This window comes from Homo sapiens, chromosome 4 (assembly GCF_000001405.40).
Source record: "Homo sapiens chromosome 4, GRCh38.p14 Primary Assembly".
Taxonomy (NCBI): Eukaryota; Metazoa; Chordata; class Mammalia; order Primates; family Hominidae; genus Homo; species Homo sapiens.
Window position 1 is genome coordinate 161,554,745 of NC_000004.12, and position 26,240 is coordinate 161,580,984.

The 26,240-nt window shown below is 35.1% G+C and overlaps 1 protein-coding gene across 4 annotated transcripts in view, besides 1 other annotated feature; it reads right to left on the bottom strand.

The window, feature by feature from the left end:
* FSTL5 (follistatin like 5) overlaps window positions 1–26,240 on the bottom strand; it is a 780,104-nt gene that overhangs the window by 170,848 nt on the left and 583,016 nt on the right. The window lies entirely within an intron of this gene.
* Window positions 1,015–1,124: an enhancer, noted in NCBI's record as "active region_22094". NCBI's record gives its function as "activates an Ori minimal core promoter by ATAC-STARR-seq in GM12878 lymphoblastoid cells {active_cell/tissue: GM12878}" and the evidence as "EXISTENCE:reporter gene assay evidence [ECO:0000049][PMID:35858748]".

Here is a 26,240-nt window from a genome sequence, read left to right on the forward strand (position 1 = left end):
GAAAAGGTTCTAAGAAAGCTTGAGGGTAAGAATATAAATGTCTCTGAAGTAGTGCTGACTCACAGCGGCAGCTGGATTGTTCTGTTTGTATTATGACTTCCTTTGTCATTAAAGCAACTTTCCTATGAAAAATTACAGACTCGGTTTAATAAATATTTTAAATGCTACTGAGCTTGTCCAATGCCTTTTGTCTGACATTATTAAAGCCATCAATTTCTCTTTAACTTTGTCCCAAAGCAGTCTTTTTATATTCATGACTTTCACACTGCCTCTTGTCAATATTACAAAACTCTCTGATCACATTATTGCAGTCTTCATGAAAGTGTAGAGGATGCAACAAATGTTGGAGGCAAAATATAAATTAAGAGCAACATTCTTAGGGTCATAAACTTCGGTGAGTTTTTTTAATTGGGTCTTCCTATTTATCATATGACATTGTAAGAAATTACAATGCTTTAACCTATTTTGAAAGAGACAGTTCACCCTAATTTAATTAACTTAGATGTAGTCTACTAATATTTAAAGTTAGTGGCCTTTTTAATCCTCAATTTCAAAGTCTCAAAAGTCACCATTTTAAGAAATGCTCTCTGAAACACAAAAGAAAATATAACAAAAGCGTTTCAGATGATAATACACAAGATGTCGTTTCTCTAAACCTAAAGAAAAGAAAGAATAAATGAGAAAAAAACATAGCCTGGCACATGCTGGATGATGCTGGTTTCTTTTTGACAGATTTTATTTAATTTTATTTAATGTATATCTAATTTAGAGATCAGGAGTTCTCAAAGTGATTATTTGAGGCAGGAGTTGTGTAGCTGATATGTTACAGTAACCTCCTCCTAAGCAGAAAATTTGAACGCATCTCTAATACTTTCTGCTATGCTGTAAGGGATAAAATATCCCATTTCTGAGTCTTGATTTCTCCATTTGTAAAATTTGAAACTCTTCTGAGGATTAAATGGACTAAAGGAAACACTCTCTGGTAAATTCCCAGCCCATTGCTAGGCATGAGTCAGCAAGCAAAGGTTTGGTGTCTACTCACATGTTTTGTTGTTTTTGAAAATATGAGGGGTTTTTCTGCTGGCTACACAGAGAATGTCTAAGACTTAATAAGAGGAACAGAAAATGTGTTTAATTTCACTTGTCAATACCAACTGATTAGTAGAAATGAACTTAGATGGGAATTGAACCTGTCTAAGCCCATGAACTGTTTCAACACGCAAGAAAACTATAATTGATCAACAATGTTTGTCAAGACTAGAGGGAGGAAGTGGAAGCATGACGTATTCCAAACTGGTTAAATGTTCCAGATGCAAATGTAAACCCTGTCTAAATACAATCTAGGAATAGATTTAGTCAAAGCTGTGTCTAAACACATTTTAAACAGATCAAACACCTTCTCAGCTCTTTTTTTAACTCACATTTGCACCTCAATAGTGTGTTTGTATATATATACCCTGTAAATAGCCAATTTTTGCAACTAGAAGGTAATGAAAGCATTGCATTAGGGCTTAAACATAAAGAAAACATTTGTCTTTCAATATTATATTAAAATGTGTTGCAAAATATATATGATTCTGGAAGCTTTTGTTTATAACTTTTCTTACAGCTAGTTCTCTAGCTAGCCTTATTTTCTACCACCGTTTGTGTAAGAAACAGAAGAATTTTAACAACATGTAAGACTATAAAATATAACATGTCTTGCATCAGACAGGATTACTCAAGACGAAGATTTTGATTACAAGCTATAACTGACTAGCTCTGTGATTTTGGGATACTCACTCCAACTCTATGAGTGCTTGTTTACTCATTTGTAAAATGAACATTATGAGGAAAGAATAAGACAACACTTTAAAATATAAAAACTATGCAGATAGAAATGAATTCACGACAATATTGTTGAAGATCTTTTCAACAGAGTAGATGATAAAAATTACTAATATTAGATAATTTTGCTCAGGAAGTTTTATTGCAAACTAATATATGTAAAAAAGCAAAAAAAACCCACTAAGATTTAGCGGGTTATAGTCATCCATATTTATACAAACTTAGTTCGTATTTCTCGGTAAAAGATTATATATATATGTGTGTGTGTGTGTGTGTATATATATATATATAATCCTGGATTAAGTTTATTTTATCAAAATGAAGTAATTTCTTTAGAAACTACCTAATTTGTCTTAGAACAATTTTTATATAAACTGATAAACCGAGAGTTATAAATATAGTTTCCTAATTTCAGAATGAGCTTCTTAATGGGAATTGTAAATGAACTCTACTTGTACTTGGAAGTTCTCATGTAATACTGAGCTACAAAATTAATTTGATAAAGTCGTGTGGATAATTAATTTTTGAAAAAGCACTCTTAAATAAAGCAATAGTACCCTTGTTTGAGTATCATCACTTTATACTTTAACCAACAACTTTCAAAAGAAATCTTTAAAATACAAAACTACAAATAAAAGAGCAGCCTTAAAAATTATATATAAATCATAATAAGCCTAAAACTTGCTAAACAAAGATAAAATATTTCTGCACCTTTACACAATTTATGTAATTTTTCCTCATTTTTTATTATTAAGTATGCTAGAATTTTTAATCTTCAGTTTTCAAATCTATAAAAAATTTCATGACAAGCATACTAAACTAACTCCAAATACAGGAGAGTTATGCTGTTATTTTACACTTAGTAAAATTAAAAATGTTTAGAATATTCCCTAACTTGACAGGCATTACCATAGATAATTTTGGGAGAATAAATTGCTACAAAATTTTAGCACAGCAATATAGCATTATCTACCCATTTTTAAATGCATGTGATTTTTAATGTAGTGATTCTTCTTTGATTAAGCTAATCTAAAGAAATTAAAGCACCAGTATGTAAGTACAAGGATGATTATGTACACACTGCATATAAGAGTAACTTGTGAAATCTGAGTCATCAATATTAAAATTGAACAGATTATCATACTATCATACTGTGAAATTTTATTAAACAACAAAAAAGAATGAGCTAAGTTACGTATATTGCATATATTGCCCAAAAATAAATCTAAGATATCTTAAATGAGAAAAATCCTGAGTAACTTATAGAGAATAAGCCCATATTTGAGAATCTAACACGTGCATATGTGTTATATGTGCTCATATAAGTTATATAAACTGAACCTTAAGGTTCAGTCATGTGTCGCTTAAAGATGGGGATGTTTTCTGAGAATGTGTCCTTAGGAGATAAGCCCATATGTTCCTCTGCAAATAAGTGGTTAAACAAACTCTTTTACGTACATACCATAGAACACTATACAGCAATAAGAGCTATGAACTGTGGATATTTGCAACAATGCAGATGGATATCCAGATAATTATGCTGAGTGAAAAACGTTTTATAAAACAATCCCAGAAGGATGTACAGTGTATGACTCCATTTATATAATATTCTTGAAATAATAAACTATCGAAAGGAAGAGCAGATTAGTGGCTGTCAGCAGTTAATGAGTTGGTGGGAGTAGGAGAGAGCTCAGTGTGGCTCCAAAAGGGTGTCACTAGGGCTTTTGTGGTGATGAAACTCTTCTGCAACTTGACTGTATCAATGTCAATATGGCAATCTAATGTGCTACAGTTTTACAGGATCTTTCTGCATTGTTACTTAAAACTGCATAAGAATTTACAGTTATCTCAAAATTAAAAAGTGTAATTAAATATTTTTGGTCTACTTTAAAGAAACATAATTTATATCAGTAGTAAAGACAAGTCTACACTGAGTAGCTCAAAGAAAAATGCCACCCCACTGGAACTCTCAAAATGTTACTCTTAACTTTCTCACTCAATCCTCTGTTCCTGGTCCCTAGATACTCTCTGCGTCCACACCGTTCTGGTTCCCTCTGATTGTATTTAATATAGTTCACTGCTATTCCACACTATTAGTGGAAAAGTGGCTGCTGGCACCAACAATTCATAGAGGTCATCTCTCAATATGCCACCTTCTAGTAAAAATAGCATGCTTCCTATAAGTTCATTTGAAAGCAATGAAGTCACTATTTATCTAGCCCAATTAGTAAACTGGTAGCCCTCTGTGACTTTTCACTCTAACTCATTAGTAACTCTCCCAACCAACCCCAATCCAGTTATTTATGGCAACATATTTATTATCAATTTGATCTCAATTTTTCACATTTTTCTTCCTTCAGTTTAGGCCTTCACTATTTCTAGCCTTTGTGCAAAACCTGTGAACTGCTCTTCTTCTCAACAGCCCTGCACAAATCCATTCTTCATTCTTCATACTGCCGACAAAGTTATTTTAAAATTGAAAGTATTATGTTGCAACTAATCTAATTAAAATCCTTTACTGCATTCTCCGTTTCTCAGATTAATATCCAAACTACTCAACCTAAAATATCCTTCATTACCTGGTCTGTATTAGCTTCTCAAGATTTATATATGGTGAATCTCTTCGTAAAAGCCTGCATTGATGTTTCTAATCTATATCCTCTCCTTTTTCCTCTTCCTAATTAGACTCCTCTTTCTAATAACTCTTAACTTTCTGATGACTCCTAAAATAACTGCTGTTTCCTTCTATTTCCTTCCATCCTCCTCCTTGTTCTTTCTTCTCCTTTGCTTTCTCCTTCTATTTCTTCTCTCTTTCCTCTTCTTTTTTTCTTACTTTTCTTCATTGTCCTTTATCTCTTCATTCATCCTCTACTCTTTCCACTTTTCAAATGTACATTTTAGTTTTAAAATTGTCACTTCTAATTTCATTATTTTTGAACAGACAATGCATTCACATGGTTGAAAAGCTAAAACATACAAAAAGTACACTGTGAAAAGTCTCCCTCTCATTTCTATCTTACTGTTTTCTACTTCTCTCTCTTCCTGTAAGCAAATTAATTCCTGTAAGCAAACTGTTAATGGTTTCTCATGCATTTTGAAGGAGATTTTATGTATAAACTTATAAATATAATTATGCATAATATATATATCATATGCATGTAAAATGTGTTCATGCCTTACTTAATGAAGGTGCTACGTTCTGAGAAATGTATTGGTAGGTGATGTTGTCACCATGGGAAGCTCATTCTGTAATTACACAAACCCAGATGCTATAGCCTATTTACACACCTAAGCTATATGGTATAGCCAATATAGCTCCCAGGCCACAAACCTGTGCAGTATCTTACTGTACTGAATACTGCAGGCCAAGCTTGTCCAACCTGTAGCCCCCAGGCCACATGCAACCCAAGACAGCTTTCAATGCAGCCCAACACAAATTTGTAAACTTTCTTAAAACATTATGAGTTTTCTTGGTGTGATTTTTTTTTCTTTTAGCTCATCAGCCATCATTAGTGTTAGTGTAGTTTATATGTGGCCCAAGACAATTCTTCTTCCATTGTGGCCCAGGGAAGCCAAAAGATTGGACACCCCTGCTGTAGACAATTGTAGCATGATGGTATTTATATATCTAAACATATAAAAGGTGAAGTAAAAGTAAGATATAATATAAAAGATGGTACTCCTGTATAGCGCACTTACCACGAATGAAGCTTATAGGATGAGATGTTGCTGAGTCAGTGAGTATGTGGTGAGTGAATATAGAGGCCTAAGACATTATTATACACCACTGTACACTATAAACACTGAACACTCAGGCTATATTAGATTTATAAAAAAACTTTCTTTCTTCAATAATAAATTTTCCTTAGCTTACTGTAACTTTGTTACTTTTTAAGCTTTTTAATTTTTTCAACTTTTTGACTCTGTAATAACACTTAGCTTCAAATATACATTGTACAAATGTACAAATTTTTTATATTTTTATTTTATAAGATTTTTTTTCTGTTTATACAATTTTTTAATTTTAATTTTTCCTTTTTAAACATTTTTGTTAAAAATTAAGACACAAACTCACACATTAGTTGAGCCCTACACAGGGTCAGGGGACCTGTGTAGGTCCTGTCTTTATCTATATCACTGTCTTCCGCCTCCACGTCTTGTCTCACTGGAAGGTCTTTCAGGGGCAATAACACACATGGAGTTGTCATCTCCTGTGACAACAATGCCTTCTTCTAGAATACCTACTGAACTACCTGCCTAAGGCTGTTTTACCGTTAACATTTTTTTAATTAATAGAGGAAGTACACTCTAAAATGACACTAAAATGCGTAGTAAACATATAAGCCAGTAACATAGTCATTTATTATTATTATTATCAAGTATTATGTAGTATACATAATTGTATATGCCATACATTTGTATTACTGGTAGCACAGTAGAATTTTTACACCAGCATCACCACAGATGTGAGTAATGCATTGTACTGTGACATTACAATAGCTACGACGTCCCTAGGGAATAGGAATATTTCAGCTCCATTATAAACTTATAAGACCACTATCTTACATGTGGTTCATCATTGACAGAAATGTTGTTGTGCAGTGCATAACTGTATTTTAGATGATAGATAGATAGATAGATAGATACATAGATAGATAGATGATAGACAGATAAATATTTGTTACAGGAATTTGACCTTACAGAATTCAACTGCAGGAGCTGGAAAAAGTATCTCTGTAAGACTCTTATCTTCCTGTCTGATTTTGGAGCTTGAAGTTCACAGAACTGGCAGTCAAAATGGGAAGATAAATGGAAAGTGAGAGAATAGGTAAATCCACAGAAAGAGAGAGTAGATTAGTGATTTCCAGGAACTGCATGGTTTGAGATGAATGCCTGGTGGCTGTTAATTGGCTCTGGGTTATTTTTTGGTTTGGTGAAAATGTTATCGAGTTAAGATAGTGGTGAGGATTGTAAAACTCTGAGGATATTCCAAAAAACACTAAATTGCGCACTTTAACAGGGAATTTAATGGGGTAAAAATTGTAGCTCAAAAAACTGAACAATAATAACAAGGCAAAAAAAAAGAAAGAAAAGTGTATACAGTATGTTTTCATTAGTGTGAAGAAAAAGCAAAAAATAATAGTAGCTTGTAAATGTCTCAACTTGGCTAGGCTGAACTATATTCCCCAGAATTCTTTTTCTTCTACATTTCCACTTAGGGTGGGTCATATTTAATTTTGTTCAAAGTTTGGAGGGCAGAAGAAAAATTAAAGTCACTTTGAGTGCTGGGGCACAGTCACTATGTAACCTTGTAGCCCACACACATTGTTGCAAAGCTAAGGCACGTGTTGTAGGTGTGGAACAACAGTCTGCAAGTGTTCCACTTTCCCTCAGCTTTGCCAATTCCTGGGCATGGCATGCATCTGGTTCTGTCCAATGAGAGCCAGAATCTCAGGACACCCACCTTACTGAGAGTGGAGGCGATGAGAATGGACATGGGTACTAAGCCAATCTCATGGACTCCAGTTCATGCTCATGGTTTTGCAATTTTTCTTGCTCTTCCCCACTGGACGTTCATTTTCCCTCCTCTAATTCTTTCAGTTTTGTTCTATTGATCTATGTCTATGCTGTGTCAGTATCACACCACTATCATTACTGTCACTTTGTAGGAAGTTTTGAAATTGGGAAGTGTGAGTTCCCCAGGTTTGTTCTTCACACGCAGGATGATTTTGACAATTCCAGATCCTTTGAATTTCCTCATAAATTTTAGGATTAGCCTGTCAATTTCTGACAGCTGTGATTTTCATAGAAACTGCACTGAATCTGCCCATCAATTTGGGGAGTATTGCCATCTTAATAAAATTAAGTATTGAAATTTATCAACATAGTATGTTTTTCCATTGATTTAGGTCTTCTATAATTTATTTCTATAATTCTTCTATAATTTATAATTTGGCTTTCAGTATAAAAGTCTTCTGCTTATTTGGTTAAGTTTACTCTTAATTACCTATTTTTTGATACTAATATAAATGGTTTTTTTTCCTAATATTGTTTTTTTGATTGGTCATTGCTAGTGTATGCAGATCTATTTGATTTTTTTCAACCTTGTTTATTGTGGCAAAATACCCATAATATAAAATGTACCCTGTTACTGCTTTTAAGTATACAGTGCAGTGGTGTTAAACACATTCATAATGTGCAACCATCACTATCACTCATCTCCATAACTCTTGCTGTTGAAATTCCATAACTACTACACAATAACTACTTTTTGCCTCTATGATTTTAGACTCCTGAAAGTACCTCATATACATAGAATTATACAATATTTATCATTTTGTAGTTGGCTTATTTCACTTAGCATAATGTCCTCCAGGTTCATACATGTTGTAGCATATTGCATAATGGTCTTCCTTTTTAAGTCTGAAGGATGTAACAACAACATGAGCCCTAGATTAGCATCAACATGTGTGGGCTACAAGGTCACATGGTGGCTGTGTCCCCGCATTCAAAAGTGGCTTTTCATTTCTTTCTGCCTTCCAAACCGTGAACAATATTAAATATGACTCACCCTAACTGGAAACATATTTTATGGACATACCACATTTTACTTCTCCATTTATCTATCAACAAACACTTGGGTTGCTTCCATATTTTAGCTATTGTAAATAATACTCTTATGAATATGGGTGTAAAAATATTACTTTGAGATCTTATTTTGAAAACTTCTGGCTATATATCCAGAAGTGGAACTGCTTTATCGTATGGCAATTCTATTGCTATTTTTTTAGAAATGAATATACTGTTTTCTACAGAAGTGCTAATATTTTACATTTCCACTTATAGTGAATAGGGCTCCAAATTCTCCACATTCTGACCATCCGTTATTTTCCTGGGCTTTGTTTGATAGTGGTCATTGTACTTCAAAGTTGGCTCTAATTCATGTCAGCCTCCATTTTTGTGCCTCACTATTTAGGCTGTGCTTCTTTATTATTATTTCTGCTTTTGTCAATCTTACTGCTTCCTCCATGGTACCTATTAATGTTGTGGCATATATGTCCCTGCAACAAATAATCTAATCACCCCGTAGCAGTCAATGGATATTACCACTGCTCTCTACTGCTATCTTTTCTGTAGTCTTATTTCTCCCCAACAATTTGGCCAGAAAGTGCACATATTGTTCTTGTCAGTTATACTAAGGCAAATTTGGAAAAGTTATTGTATAATTTAGAATTATTGGGAATAACATTACTATAATCTAAATTGGTTAGAAGTGCCAACCTGTTTTGAAAGTTTTCTAAGTAGTAGCGCCTTACTACATGTAATTAAGCCAAAATGAAAAGAAAAAACAACACAAAAATTGTCATAGTAGGGTGCTAAAAAGAAGATATGTAAATGCTTATGCGTTAAAATATTATCTGCATATTATAATAAAAGGAATAAAAATAAAACTATGCCCCTCATCCACATTGAAATTTATTGTCTAGACATTTTATAAACATTTGATATTAATTTTCTTCAGAGTGAATAATATATTTGTATTCAAATTTACATTATTCAGATAAATCTCAGCCAGCCTAATTAATTCTACAACAATACTTGATGTATATTATCAGAACCATCAAATTATAAATTATGCATGTGTATATATGCATGTGTACATATATATGTACACATGCAAGTACACACACAAACATTTTTAACACAGTTCCAGTATATGACCTGATCCTATAATAAAATAATAATAGCCATAACAATAAGGAATCATTAGCTTTGGAATTGTATTCCTATATATATATATAAAAGTGTTTTCTTAAGGAGAAACTGCAGTTTTCAGTTTTATCAATAGATGGCACTACTATTTACCATATGTTTTGCTAAAATATAACAATATTTGCTGAAATATATTAATTGATAACTAATATAATTTATTTAATTAACTCATATAATTAATTTATTAATTTTTATTCCTAAAAATTTGCTTTCAATAAACAATTTACTATTTCCTTGACATAGTAATGTATCACCTGTAAATATTCACTTTCAAAATGATACTTATAATCTTTAATCTTTTATTAATACATGATAATTACTGTTAAATGCATTTTTATTATTTATAAACTTTTAGATACTTCCAAAGACATAATTATTATTATTATTTAATGCCTTCTAACTCAGAGTAGCATTTGTAGGGGAGATGCCTATTGCGGGTGTCAGGAGTGGTGTTATCACTAGGTGTTCTGCTTGCATACTATTTGTTTTTATTCTAAAATTCACTGGTGTTAAATCAAAAAATGAGCTGGAGGAAACTTCCAATTCAATAGCATAAATTATCTATAATAGTGATAGAACACTGATAGTCACAAATGATATATTTTCTATTGATAATATTTTATAAAACTATATGATGCACAAAATTATATGTATTTTGTTATAAAACACACTCCCAAATCACTATCATAGAAGCCACAGTACAGGGAACCTTCTACTTATCCTCTGGCAAAGTTTACTTAAAATGATTTGTGTTAGCTGAAAATGTGGGGCCGAAAGCAAAGAATTCATAAGTGCCTCTCAGACCTCCGTATTAACAGAAAACTAATCAAAGCCCTCCAATCTATACAGATTTCTGGGATTCATTTGACATATCTTGCCTATCATCATCATCATCATCATCATATTTATTATAATTAGCCATAAGAACATCTTTTTGCATTTGATTAATATGAAATGTTTGACTGGCATTAAATTCTTAGAAGTAGGTTTGCTTAGTAAATGTCAAGTAAATGGAAATCCACATAAACTTAATGTAATCTCAATAAATATATTGAAATAAATACATATATATGTTTTTGAGGGAAAAAATGCTAGTTGCATTAACACATTTTTCTCTCTGATCCTCATATATAATTATTTATCTTACACAAGTGGCAGTCTTGATTATTAAAAGAAAATTTAAGCAGGCCAGAAATGAAATCTTGGTACCTTTTCAGGCTGTTTTCCTTTTGCAATATGCAAAAGCTTGCTGTTTGCCCGCCACTTAAATGTCAAAAATCCCATGTGGGTCAGAAAAATATCTTTGCTATGGCATGAAAACACTTAATTGTTAACCTATTCTGTTATAAGATTAGCCTGAGTGCTGATTTCCTTCTTGTGAACGTAGTATAACTTGAGACACACACACACACACACACACACACACACACACACACACATATATATGATATTTTCTTTATCTCTTCATTGGTTGATGGACACTTAGATTGGTTCCATATCTTTGCAATTGTGAATTGTGTTATGGTGAACATATGTGTGCAGATGTCTTTTTTATATGATGACCTGTTTTTCTTTGGGTATATATGTAGGAGTAGGATTGCTGGGTTGAATGATAGATCTACATTTAGTTCTTTGAGAAATCGCCACAGTTTTCCATAGAGGTTGTACTAATGTACATTCCTACCAACAGTGTATAAGTGTTCACTTTTCACTGCATTTGTGCCAACATCTATTGTTTTTTTCTTTTTTTTTGGACTATATATATATATATATATATATATATATATATATACACACACACACACACACACCGTGGAATGCTCCTCAGCCATTAAAAAAAAACACACATAATAATGTCTTTTGCAGCAATTTGGATGGAACTGTAAGCAATTATCCTAAGTGAAGTAACTCAGAAATGGAAAACAAATACCACATGTTTTTACTTATAAGTGGAAGCTAAGCATAGTATTCTATGGTGTATATGTACCGCATTTTCTTTATCCAATACACAGTTGATGGGCACCTAGATTGATTCCACATCTTTACTATTGTGAATAGTGCTGTAATGAACATAGGGCTGCATATATCGTTTGAAAAAACAATTTATTTTCTCTTGGGTATATGCCCAGTAATGGAATCTCTGGATTGAATGGTAGTTCAAGTTTTAGTTTTTTGAGAAATCGCCAAACTGTTCTCCACAGTGGCTGTACTAATTGACATTCCCACCAGCAGTTCGTAAGTATTCCTGTCTCTGCAGCCTTGCCAGCATCTGTTGTTTTTAGACTTTTTAACAAAGGCCATTCTAACTGGTGTGAGATGGTATCTCATTGTGGTTTTGATTTGCATTTCCCTGATGATTAGTGATGACTAACATATTTTCGTATCTCATGGAGGGAAGGAGGGAGTAGCAAAAATCAAGGAAATGAATTATAATAATTACTCATAAGTATAAGAAAAGCGTTAAAAGGTATTAATCTGGAGAACTCATAAAAGCCTAGGTATAGCATGTGAAAATGTATTCTATATTTTCCCAGTGCACCAGAGGCAGCAAATTATTTTCTGAATTACTATTACGTATGATGCTCTGTTTTACTGTTAATTTCTAAAACATTCTTCCCATTTGGTCAAGTTTAAAAATGACACAGATGTCAATGAATGAAATCAAATTTACTATGTATTACATGATACAATAAAGTATGCTAAATAACATAAAGACTAATTAGATAATTCCAGTCATAACTTGTGATCACTGCCCGAACCATCTGAAGCTATTGTTTTGAACTTTAGAAATGTCATTGTACTATTTTAAATTGAACTACAATTTAAACATAATATGGAAGAAATAATCATAAATTACACACAATAAAGATCTGAGAAAGCATCTAGCAGTAAAACAACACAGAGAAAGAGATTAGATAAATTCATTAATTTAAATAAAATAAAATTTATTTTTAAAACATATGGATTAACAAGTACACATGCAAATTGCAAAAGGTGCTTAAAATCTAATTAAGCTATCTTGAGAGTGCCCTCATGTTAAATCTTTAAGATCAAATAAGCCTCATTATCACATTAACCTTCTTTCCACTCTCTTGTTATACAAGTGTCATTACATTAATTAGTCATTATACTGTTTTTTAAGTGCTGGCCACCTCATGAGCATTTTGTAACATTACCCAGTACTTGTATACATAGAAGTAATCTATGATATATCACTCCTAGTCCAGTAAACCATATCATGCTAATTTAAATATCTATGTGTAGATATAACCAGATTATAATTTTATGAAGAAAACAACTTTGTAATATCAAAAACAAGATGCAGTACATTCAATTACCTATGTAAAAGAATTCTAGCTGAATGAATTTAAGTCTAAGTCAATCATAGGTGAATAAAAAATAATAGTATCTGAGAATGAGTCACCTATCTGAGATTTGCTCCTATAAACAAGAGAATCTACACGTCTTTGATTCATGTAGAGGACTGTTTCTCCCTTCAACCCTTAAAATGATGTTCTGTTTTATTGCTAACTTAATTTCTAAAACGATCTTCCCATTTGGTCAAAGTAGGAAGAGGAAAGAATCATTGGCTTGGTGTGTTTTTAGAAAGATTGAGCACATGGAACTCATCCTTTCTCATGTGTTGGATCTGCCTGAAAAGAGGATGCATTCTATTCTGCTCTCTTGGCAATACGAGATCAGCAGTGTTGGCTCTGTCTCCGTGTGCTGAAGTCTAGGGTTGCCCAGCGACGCCCATGACTTGGCAAATTTTGGAGTCCATATTTGCCATATATCTCAACCACCTTCTCTAGGCAGCTTTACCCACAATGCAGGTAATATTTTGTCCTTTATGTCAATCACTATTGCATCTTTCTCTTAATTGGTTCTGAAGACAAGGATCAGGAGGAAGAAGAGAGTGGTGTTCTTTACCGATCTCCTATATGTGCAACATCTGATGCTTTGAGAACGCTCTAGAAACTTACAAAGAATAAAGTGCAGTTGACACAGTAACACCAGGAAGAATCAAAGCTTTTGAAATAGCTTCAGCGGGTAACTTAGCCCTGATGGTATATGCCTTAGAGCTGATCTTCTTTACAGTAGGGAAGTTAGCTTTTATATGCTGCAGCCTCCGCAGGTGGCTTTGGGTCTTAAGCTTTACTAAATATGGCATAATTTAATGTTATCCTATTGGGTAAGTTTTCCCCATAAATGAATAGCTGTGTTTATGCAGGCAGAGTTATGTCTAACAAATATACACATTAGGAAGCAGGTCACCCTATGTAGGAGCTGTCATTATTCAGCTTTGAATTACACAGATCAAGTTTGGCCTGGTTTAAAAATCAAGGCTAAGGCAGAGATAAGTTATTTTATGTATCAGTAAATGGCTTTTGCTATGTTTCTTAACCAGGTCTGTAAGCAGTTTTTTTGTTGTTGTTGTTTACCTAATGCATAGGCAGCTAATTTCCATTAGTAATACAAAGCACAAATATAGGTTATTACTCTAAATTATTAATAGCAGCTATAGTTAAGCAGTACTAAACTGACTAACAAAATTACATGTACTGTCTTTAGTTATATAGAAGGAATCTTGCAGGGTTAACTTTCTATAAAGAGAGGCTTGTTCAAAGGTAGCAAGTACCCCAGTTCTGTTATTTATGTATTTTCTTATCATGGCTTTCTACAATGTGTCTTCACCCAAAGAAAGATTATATATTGTATTATATTTCATTACACCCTCAACCTCCTGGGCTCAAGCCTCCTTAGTATCTGAGACTACAAAAACATACGTGTGCATTACCATGCCTGGATAATTTTTAGTGGAGATGAGATCTCACTATGTTACTTAGGCTGGTATCAAACTAGCCTCAATGTTCCCTCCTTGGCCTCCCAAAGTGCTAGGATTACAAGCATGAGCAATTAATGAACAAATACAAAGTAAAAAGCCATGGCTGCCATAAACATTTCTTGGTATCCAAGATCTGGGCCCAAGGGTTACCTGTTTCAAATACCAGAATTACATCATGGAAGTTGTGAAGGCCACCATTAAGCCAAGGAATGTCTCAAACCATTACACCAAGAAAAAAGTGTCTTATTTTAGAGAAATCAATTTCAAGGGTGGGGTAGAAAAACAACTCAAAGGAGGTGTTGCCAACTTAAAGCCTAAGACAGCAATTACATTTCTGTTCCTCCACTGTCTCTGAGAATTGGGTTTGCTCAAGATACCAAGTAGCAACTGAAGTGGTTTGAAAACATATACCTTTGATTTTCCATCACAACATAAATAGTAGAAAATGAAAGGAAAATAGAGGAAGAAAGACTGATTATGCTGGATAAAGTTTATTTAAGAGGACATCTTGGAGGACACAGCAGCCAGATATGAAAAGGAAAATGAGATCTTTAAGTCCAACACACAAACACACACACACACACACACACACACACACACACACACACACCCCACATTGTGGCTCTAAGGACTAAATTCTTTTAAGGACAGTATCCTTAGACAATGAAGAAATGTTTTAGTTGTCTAGTGAATAAAACCTGAGTTGGGGCCTAGCAATCTAACAACAGAAGAACATGAAAAACCTCAGGGAGGGAGGAGAAAGAATGGATACGTCAAAGCTTTCCAGAACCAGGAGCTAATGAGAAACATCTATTCATCTACTCATGTACATTTAAAAATGCTGCCTCTTTAATATATACCCTTGTTTTTTTGTAACAATACAGTGGAATGTATCCTTATTTCAAAGACATTAATACAGGAAGAAAAGTAGTGTGTAGAGTATTTTAGGCTATGTGCAGTTTTGTAGAAGGTGAAAAAACTGTGCTGTGGAGAAGACTGGGCAGGACAGTGAGTGAGTGAAGAGCAGGTGGGGGCATAGTTAAAATTTTAAATAGTGTAGTCTGGGTAAGCTTCATTGAAAATGTGACATTTAAGCAGAGTTGAAAGAGTTTGAAACTGAGACTTATGGAGATCTGGCGAAGAATCTTCTGGGCAGGGGAAACAGCCAAGTGTAAATGTTTGTTATGTATAAGGTCCAAAAGGAAGTGTACATTGAATGCAGCTGGATTACACTTTCTTTTCTGAAAAGGAAAGAGAAATAGGGTAGGAAGATACCACAAAAACTGAGAAATCAGAACATTTACGGTTATTTAGGGGATTCAAAGTCTGGCTTTTAATCTGAGAGACATTGGGAGCCAATGGGATTTTAAGTAGAGGAGGGATGTGACTTGACTTCATAAGCATGAAGTTGGGGACACATAAAAATAAAAATAATTAAGAAAAATTCCTAATAGTTCAGAGATCTTTATCAAGTGTTTACAAACATCGTAGATAAAATTGTGTAAGAAAGACAAAGAACACTAAAATTCTCATGGCATCTCTTAATGTATTTCAAAGTAGCAGTTATTGCAGGTGAGCCTGCAGCTATGCTCTGGACCTAAAAGGATATGACCAGGAAATCTATGGAGTTAAGGCTCCAAGGGAGCCGGGTGTGGTGGTTCACACCTGTAATCCCAGCACTTTGGGAGGCTGAGGCAGACGGATCACGAGGTCAAGAGATCGAGACCATCCTGGCCAACATGGTGAAACCCCGTCTCTACTAAAAATACAAAAATTAGCCAGGCGTGGTGGTGGGTGCATGTAGTCCCAGCTACTACTCGGGAGGCTGAGGCAGGAGAATCACTTGAGGCGGAGGTTTCGGTGAGCCAAGATCACGCCACTGCATTCTAGCCTGGGTGACAGAGCAAGACTCCGTTTAAAAAAAAAAATAGACTCCAAGGGAAGACACGGCCAAGATGAAACATAGTAAAAAGAATCTGGGAAAGAAAGTAATGGATTATGTTAAGGCACAGGTTAGATGTTGCTCTAATGGGAGAAAAGCCCCTAGGTGGGATCTGCCAAATCACTAAGGAAAAGGTGGAAAATATTTGAACAGTGGATGGTTTTGGCAGACAGAGATCATATTTTCATATCTCTCACTGTGACAAACCCCACAGAAAAATATAGAGGAGAATACATGGGAACAAAAATGTGTGGGCCAGAAAGGAGAGAGAAATAAAAAGGAAGGAAGACAAATTTCTAGCAGACGGCCCTCCCAAAGGAAAAAAAAGAAAAAAGTCCACATCAAAAAGAAGGCTAAACTGTTATAAAGTGACTGAATTCTCACAAAATAAAGAATGGAACAATTAAGAAAAATAGAGCATTAGAAGGAGGGGGAAAATGTAACAAAAAACTGAATACTGCGCAAGATTGAGAACCTTTATAAATAGAGGAAATAATACATTATCGACCTCTTGGTGAGGTATATGTCAGCAGGATCCCCCGGAGGATACAGTCTTCAGAAACATTAATCTCAATTTTAGATTCAGAGTCAGCTAAAGAATATATGGCAACTGAAGCAATGTGGAGCCTTGGTGAGATCCCTGTGGAGTGCATTTCGTAAACACAGGTAATTCTGTTGTGGTGCTGGGTCCAAAATTGCCTGTTCCCAAGAGGCATCGTGAGTGTCTTTAATGTTTTCTCAGAGAAGTGACTCTGTGCATAATTTTTCCTTCCCCCAAAAGGCTTCTGAGCATTGTGATCTTGTGACAAAATTAGGCTAGAGACACAATAAACGTATTTCCTCTTCTTTTTTAAATACACAACTAGCTCTCTTGTAGTAGAATGCACTGATTATGGGCCAGCCATGGTGGCTCGCACCTGTAATTCCAGCACTTTGTGAGGCCGAGGCGGGTGGATCACCTGGGGTCAGGAGTTCAAGACCATCCAGACCAGCCTGGACAATATGGTGAAACCTCACCTCTACTAAAAATACAAAAATTAGCCAGGCATGTTGACAGGCACCTGTAATCCCAGCTACTTGGGAGGCTGAGGCAGGAGAATCGTTTGAACCTAGGAGTTCAGGGTTGCAGTGAGCCTGAGATTGTGCCACTGCACTCCAGCCTGGGTGATAGAGTGAGACTCCGTCTAAAAAAAAAAAAAAAAAAAAAAAAAAGAGAGAGAGAGAGAGAAAGAGAAAGAAGAAGAATGCACTGATTATGACCCCTGACAAGTGGCAAAAGTGCTGTTGGCTGCCACAAGGCCTTCCTTATAAAAGCTTGCACACCTTCCTTCACATGTTCTGGTGTCTTCCAAACAGACACAGAAGACTCACTGAAGGGCTCCAAGGCTTTAGGGAAGTGAGGCTAAAATGATTTGTGGTGGGAATCTTTTTCCCTCTAATTTTTATAGTTACCAGAAAATAAGATTACTTACATAGATACTATAGCAATATAAACTTTCTAGAAAATTTTTAAAGCTTATAATTTCTATAATTTATCTCATGTACAAGTAACAAGTAGTGCACAGACTGGAGCAAGAACATGGAATAGCATTGTCCTATGTGATACTGTGACCTCAAGAGAGAAGATGTCTGCATCACTGGGTGACTGAATGAAACAGAACTCTACCAACCCACAATCAGACTGTAGGAGAAGTGAGAAATAAACTTGACAAATAAAGGTAGGATATGGTTTAAACTGCTACAATAAAGTAAGAAAAAACATAGAGCATTAAAAAGACATAAATCCTGATATTTAATCAAAAAGTGATACGGTGGCTTGATGGTGTGGGTATGGGGTAAGCTATTATAAAAAAGAGACCCTTAGAACGGTGGCCTAAACAAGATGTAAGTAAACAAGCCCTTATAGATGGTCAAAGGACAGTTTAGTAATTAGATCTTATTGCATAACTTAGTGTATTTGTTTCCTAATGCTGCCTTAAGAAATATCACAAATTTGGTCAGGCGTGGTGGCCCACGCCTGTAGTCCCAGCATTTTGGGAAGCTGAGTCAAGCGAATTGCTTGAGTCAAAGAGTTTCGGACCAGCCTGGTGAACATGGCAAAAACCCATCTCTACTAAAAATACAAAAATTAGCCAAGTGTGCTGGCACATGCCTGTAGTCCCTGCTACCTGGGAGGCTGAGGTGGGAGGATTGCTTGAGCCCAGAAAGTGGAGCTTGCAGTGAGCCTTGATTGCACAACTGTCCCTGATTCCAGCCTAGATGACAGACTAAAACCCTGTCAAAAAAAAAAAAAAAAAAAGAGAGAGAGAGATAAAAGAAAATAAAGCCAGGAGCGGTGGCTCACGCCTGTAATCCCAGCACTTTGGGAGGCCGAGGGTGGATCACCTGAGGTCGGGAGTTCGCTACCAGCCTGACCAACATGAGAAACCCGTCTCTAGTAAAAGTACAAAATCAGCCAGGCATGGTGGTGCATGCCTGTAATCCCAGCTACTCCAGGGGCTGAGGCAGGAGAATCGTTTGAACCCAGGAGGAGGAGGTTGTGGTGAGCCGAGATTGCACCATTGCACTCCAGCCTGGGCAACAAGAGAGAAACTCCAGCTCAAAAAAAAAAAAAAAAAAAAAAAAGAAAAGAAAATGAAAGAAAGACACATAGAAAAGAAGAAAAGAAAGAAAACAAAAGAAAAGACAGAAAAGAAAAGAATAAAAGACCACAAATTTAGTGGCTTAAGGCAACACAAACTTATTCTCTTATATTCTGGAGGCCAGAAGACCAAAATCAGTTTCACTGAACTAAAGTCAAGGTGTGGGTAGAGTTAGTTGGGTTTGGAGAGTACACGGGATAATCCACGTTCATGCATTGTCTGGCTTCTTGAAGATGTCTGCATTTATTGGCTGATGACTCATTCCTCAAGTCACTACAACCTTTTGCTCTGTTATCACATATCCTGCTTCCTTCTTTTATCTTCTTGCCTTCATCTGATGAGGACCCTTATAATTATATTTAGCACCAACCTGGATAACTTTCCTATCTCAAGATCCTTAAACTATATACATGTGCAAGTCTCCCCTTTGCCATATAAGGTAACATTCACATATTCCAGAAATTAGGATGTGGAAATCTTTTGGAGAGAATATTCACCTGACCACACCCAGGCAACTTCTATCTTTTTCTTCTACTACAAAACATGACTTTCCTTTTTCTTTTTTTTTTCTTTTTTTTTTTTAAATTTTACTTTAAGTTCTGGGATACATGTGCAGGACATGCAGGTTTGTTACATAGTTATACATGTGCCAGCGTGGTTTGCTGCACCTATCAACCCATAATCTAGGTTTTAAGCCCCATATGCATTAGGTATTTGTCCTAATGCTCTCCCTCTCCTTGCCCCCAAGCCCTGACAGGTCCCAGTGTGTGATATTCCCCTCCCTGTGTCCATGTGTTTTCATTGTTCAACTCCCACTTATGAGTGAGAACATACGGTGTTTGGTTTTCTATTCCTGTGTTAGTTTGCTGAGAATGGTGGCTTCCAGCTTCATCCATGTCCCTGCAAAGGACATTAACTCATCCTTTTTTACAGCTGCATAGTATTCCATGGTGTGTATGTGCCACGTTTTTCATTGATGGGCATTTGGGTTGGTTGAAGTCTTTGCTATTGTAAATAGTGCTCCAATAAACATACATGTGCATGTGTCTTTATAGTAGAATGATTCATAATCCTTTCGGTATATGCAGTAATGGGATCGCTGGGTCAAATGGCATTTCCAGTTCTCGATCTTTGAGGAATTGCCACACTGTCTTCCACAATGGTCGAACAACTAATTTACACTCCTACCAACGTGTAAAAGCATTTCTATTTCTCCACAGCCTTGCCAGCATCTGTTGTTTCCTGACTTTTTAATAATCGCCATTCTGACTGGCATGAGATGGTGTCTTGTTGTGGTTTTGATTTGCATTTCTCTAATAACCAGTGATGATGAAATTTTTTTCAAAGGTTTTTTGGCCACATAAATGCCTTCTTTTGTGAGGTGTCTGTTGATATACTTTGCCCACTTTTTGATGGAGTTGTTTTTTTCTTGTAAATTTGTTTAAATTCCTTGTAGATTCCGGATATGAGACCTTTGTCAGATAAGAAGATTGCAAAAAATGTTCTCCCATTCTGTAGGTTGCCTGTTCACTTTGATGAGTTTATTTTGCTGTACAGAAACTCTTTAGTTTAATTAGATCTCTATGTCAATTTTGGCTTTTCTTGCAATTACTTTTGGTGTTTTAGTTATGAAGTCTTTGCCCATGCCTATGTCTTGAATGGTATTGTCCAGGTTTTCTTTTTTTTCTTTTTTTTTGTGAGACAGAGTCTCACTCTGTTGCCCAGGCTGGAGTGCAGTGGTGCATCTTGGTTCACTGAAACCTCTGCCCCCTGGATTCAAATGAATCTCCTGCCTCAGCCTCCCTAGTAGCTGGGATTACAGGCACCTGCTACTGCGCCTGGCTAATTTTTGTATTTTTAGTAGAGACAGGGTTTCACCATCTTGGCCAGGCTGGTCATGAACTCCTGACCTTGTGATCCACCCACCTTGGTCTCCTGAAGTGCTGGGATTACAAGGCGTGAGCCACCGTGCACGGCCGCCTAGGTTTTCTTCCAGTGTTTTTATGGTTTTGGGTTTCACATTTAAGTCTTTAATCCATCTTGAGTTAATCAGGCAAGAGAAATAAATAAAGGGTATTCAAATAGGAAGAAAGGAAGTAAAATTGTCTCTGTTTGGAGATGACATGATTGTATATTTTGGAAACCCCATTGACTCAGCCCCAAAACTCCTTAAGCTGATAAGAAACTTCAGCAAAGTCTCAGAATACAAAATCAATGTGCAAAAATCACAACCATTCCTATATACCAACAACAGACAAATAAAGAGCCAAATCATGAGTGAAATCCCATTCACAATTGCTACAAAAAGAATAAAATACCTAGGAATACAACATACAAGGGACGTGAAGGACCTCTTCAAGGAGAACTACAAACCACTCCTCAAGGAAATAAGAGAGGACACAAACAAATGGAAAAACATTCCATGCTCATAGATAGGAAGAATCAATATCATGAAAATGGCCATACTGCCCAAAGTAATTGATAGATTCAATGCTATTCTCATCAAGTTACCATTGACTTTCTTCACGGAATTAGAAAAAAATACTTTAAATTTCATATGGAACCAAAAAAGAGCCGATATAGCCAAGACAATATTAAGCAAAAAGAACAAAGCTGGAGGCATCACGCTATCTGACTTCAAACTACACTACAAGGCTACAGTAACCAAAACAGCATGGTGCTGGTACCAAAAACAGATATACAGACCAATGGGACAGAACAGAGACCTCAGAAATAACACTACACATCTGCAGCCATCTGATCTTCGACAAACCTGACAAAAACAAGCAACTGGGAAATGATTCCCTATTTAATAAATGGTGCTGGGAAAACTGGCTAGCCATATGCAGAAAATAGAAACTGGATCCCTTTCTTAACACATTAGACTCTCCTTTTTCAAATTTAAAATAGCTCCTCCAACTATCATCATCACACTCATTTTTCAACAAACAAAAAGAGAAATAGATGACATATATCTTTTCTAGTATCATAATTGAGATATGAAAAACAATAATTACCTTCTCAATCCATTGGCCAAAAATTTGTCATAGAAAAAAGTTTCAAGGAGGACTGAGGAAGGTAATCTTTAGGTAGGCATCCATAGGCTGGCTAATATTGAGCTTCAATTACTGAGGAAAACTATCAAAATTTATGTGGTAGACCACAAATAGTCTTTTCTCCATACATAGTGACAAAATTAACATTTTTATGAGAAGTTATGATCCAGTCATATAAGTTCTTTAAATTTGTGCAATTGTTATAGGAAATCTATATCTTAGGACAGCCAAAAATAACACTTCTTTTTAGAACAGGGATTCATTCTCCTTTCTTGTTCTAGTGAGTATTTGCCATGTTTTTTTGGCAGAATTATGTACCAGACTCAGAGAACAAAATAGGTATTACTTAAAATTTCTAAATTTATTGTATGTAGGGCTGATGCTGTCAATATTAGTCATGTGTACTAACTTTCAGAACTTTTTACAAATGAGGGTCTTAGGAAAACTTTCCTCTAACCCATACAACTTTAAGGCCTTTAAGAAAATTGACATGATAGAGAAGGTTATGGTAGAAAACTTGTAACTTAAAACTTGTAAGCCATTTGCCATAAATAAACAGAACAAATATGAAATGAGTGTCATGAAACATTGGAAAACCAGCAGCAAAGGATGGCAATCCCTGAAAGAAGAGAAGAAAAAAGACAAAAAAAAAAAAAAAAAAGGAAACAAGATGTGGTGTATAATTGTCTTGGCTTTCTTCCTGGCGGCATCCATTGACATTGATGCAGAAAGAGAGAACTGAAAGGTCTCACTGAACTAAGGATACGAGAAGTTGGAATTCACAAAAAGTTGCCAGCTGGAATTTTTAGAGAAGAAAAGCATAAAGTAGAGAACTCTGCAGAGACAGCTACGGGAATCTAAATACAGATCTGCTGAGGCTTTGGCTTAATGCCTAGGATGAAACTATTCAAAATCAGGCAAAATTTTATGACTACGGAAACCACTACAATCAGGGAGCTTACATTTAAAAGCTACAAGAGCTTACACAAGGATAGGTGCCATATGAGTTGGATTAACCAGAATGGAGAGACTTAACTGAAAAAAGCAGACTAGGGAGACTTCATAAAACATCTCATACTGCATATCAGAAGGAGAGTGAAACAGATCCCACTGTAAAGGCTACTCTAGACAGACTCAAATATAGTTTTTTTTTTCTTTTTTAAAGTCTCAAAAAGATTAAACTGATGCCTAAACAAAACTCAATGCTTCGGCAAATCTATCCTCTCAACAATGTTCAGCATTCAATACACAAATTAACAGATGTGAGAAGGAGTGGAAAATATGACTCATGAGAGAAAAATGTCAGCGAATAGGAAGAGACAATAAATTTCAGACATGATAAAAATTGCAAGCAGGGACTTTAAGTAGCCAGTATAAATAGGTTTAAAGATTTAAAGGAAAACACAAATACAATGAAAGAATAAGTAAGAATTATTTTTTAAATAGAATTTATGTCGTTGAAAAATATAATATCTAAAATAAATTTAGGAAAAAGAACTCTGGTAGAGAATAACAGCTGATTAGACATACAGATAAAAGAAAAAATGTGACCTTAAAGTCAGAGCATAAAAACTATTGAAAGTGAAGTACAGTATGTACAAATGTTGAAGAGACAGAGAGAAAAAAAGGAAGAGAATTCAGTGATTTATGAGAAAATATCAATCAGACACACATACCTATAATTTGAGTCCAAATGGATGGAGAAAACAGAAATCTATTTGAAAAAAATAATGGCCAAACGTTTATTCAAAGGTTTTAAAAATATATATCCCAAAGTCCAAGTAGCTGAGTTATCTCTAGCAGAATAAAAATCCAAGTAAAGAAAAGCAAACCAAGGCTTACCATATATAAATTGCTGATACCCAATGATAAAGAGAAACTCTTAAAAGCAGTCAGATAAATGAAAAAAAGAGACTAGAAATACTAGAAATACAGCAGATGTCCTGTTAGAAACCATGCAAGAGCAACCCAGAAGACAATAGAACATCTATAAATTGTTGAAAGAAAAATAAAAACCAAAAACTGCCTACTTAGAATTTAATATCCAACAGAAATATTATTTAATTTAAAAAAAAGTAAAAATATCTTCATACAAACAATGGCCAAGAAAATGTATCAGGAGCAGACCTGAACTTCAAATTATTAAAGCATGTTTATTAGAGTAAATGAAAATTCAGAAATTCAGTTTTACATGAAAAAATGAGGAGGATCAGAAATGCAAATGTTTTGTTCTCTTGCCTAATTTTAAAAACCTCTCTGAAAGATATGTAACTTTTAAAGCAAAAATGGAACAATATACTGTGTGTTTTATAACATACGTAGAAGTTAAATGTTTGATAATATTATTACAAAGGATGAAAATGGCAGAGATCAAGGCATGCTGTTTTAAGGTTCTTTATACATGAAGTAGTAAAACATTATTTAAAAATACATGACAATATGTTAAGTTTCATATCGTATGTGTGGCTTATAGCAATATCTGACAAAAATTTTAAAAAAAGATATAACTAATAAGTCAGTAGTAGAGATAAAATGGAATTCTAAATGTTATGGAGTACACCAGAAGTCAGTACAAAAAAGGAAATATTGAATAAAGAATGAATGAGGCTGGGCACGGTGGCTCACACTTGTAATCCCAGCACTTTGGGAAGCCGAGGTGGGCATATCACCTGAGGTCAGGGGTTTGAGACCAACCTGGCCAACATGGTGAAACCCCCTCTCCATTAAAATATAAAAATTAGCTGGGCATGGTGGCAGGCACCTGTGATTGCAGCTACTTGGGAGGCTGAAACAGGAGAATTGCTTGAACCTGGGAGGCAGAGGTTGCAGTGAGCCAAGATCGTGCCATTGCACTCCAGCCTGGGCGATGGCGCAAGACCATTTCAAAAAACAAAAACAAACAAAAAAAAAAAAAGAAAGAAAAAGAAAAAAAGAAAAAAAAATGGATGTGATCATTTGAAAATGGATTGCAAAACCCAGTGAGAATAAGCCCAGGATACAAATGTTTAAGTTACCCCAAAGTCATACATTTTCAAGGACTTCTTTCCCTGAAAGTGACCATAATAAAGAATCAGGGAAAAACTTGGTTCTTTGGACTTTGCATGTAGTTTAAACTTTTGGACTTTCTTTAGACTTTAAATTATAAGGGCAGAAGAATTTAATTTTGGATATTAATTACTTTGGACTAATTTTTTGGAACTTTAATCTCTTCAGTTTTATTTCTCTCAGAATTTAATAATTAGAACATTTATATATTAATTTTTGAACATGTCTATATTCTTGCTATTCAATAATTGAAGCATCTTGACGTCATGATTTAATTTAATCACAGAGCCTCTGAAGAACTCTATTGAACAGTGTAACTGAACATAATTTGACATGAGAAACAGTATATAGAGGGAATTTTGAGGCTTTGAAGTTAACGAATTTTTGTACTGTTTTATTATAGTTCAAAGTCTTCTGTAAACAAACATAGTGCCCACTAGTAATTCTTAGGGGAAGCTACAATAGAGCAGCAATTGTTATTAAGTGAAGAACTTTAAATTTATTTAAAATATGAATATCTCCAAAAGCAGCTCTGAGAAAAGACCCTAGGTTCAACTAGTTTTGATTTGACAAGTGATCCCAGGAGGGACAAGTGTAAAAATGGGAAAAGTTAGACAATGAAAGGAAAACTACAATAAAAGTTCAAAGAAGAAGGGGGATGCATTCATGAGATTCATAACTATGGAAAAAAAGGAATGGATTCTAGTGTGGACCCCTTGAACAATGTTGAATGCCCCTCAGGAGCTTCCCATTGAGTGAGTGGGTAGCTGTGCTTCTTACCCACTGATTTGTGTCCCTCATTGGTTAATGATGATTCCTAAGGACATCAACTCCCTGGCATATTAGGGCTTCCTTGAGTGTAGTTGATAAAGATTCTTGGGCAGTTAGATTGGGGCAAAAGTAATTGTGGTTTTGCCATTAAAAGTAAGTGCAAAAAAAGCAATTACTTTTGCACTAAACTAACTAATAAGTAAAATCTTAAGGAACAGTGGCAGAGAGACAAGCTTTGGCAGTAAGTAGTTATCAAGGGATATTCACCATAGATGAGGAGGCCTGTGTGGGCTATGGAGCAAGACATGAATACTGTCTGCTGTGGGGCCTCATGAGGC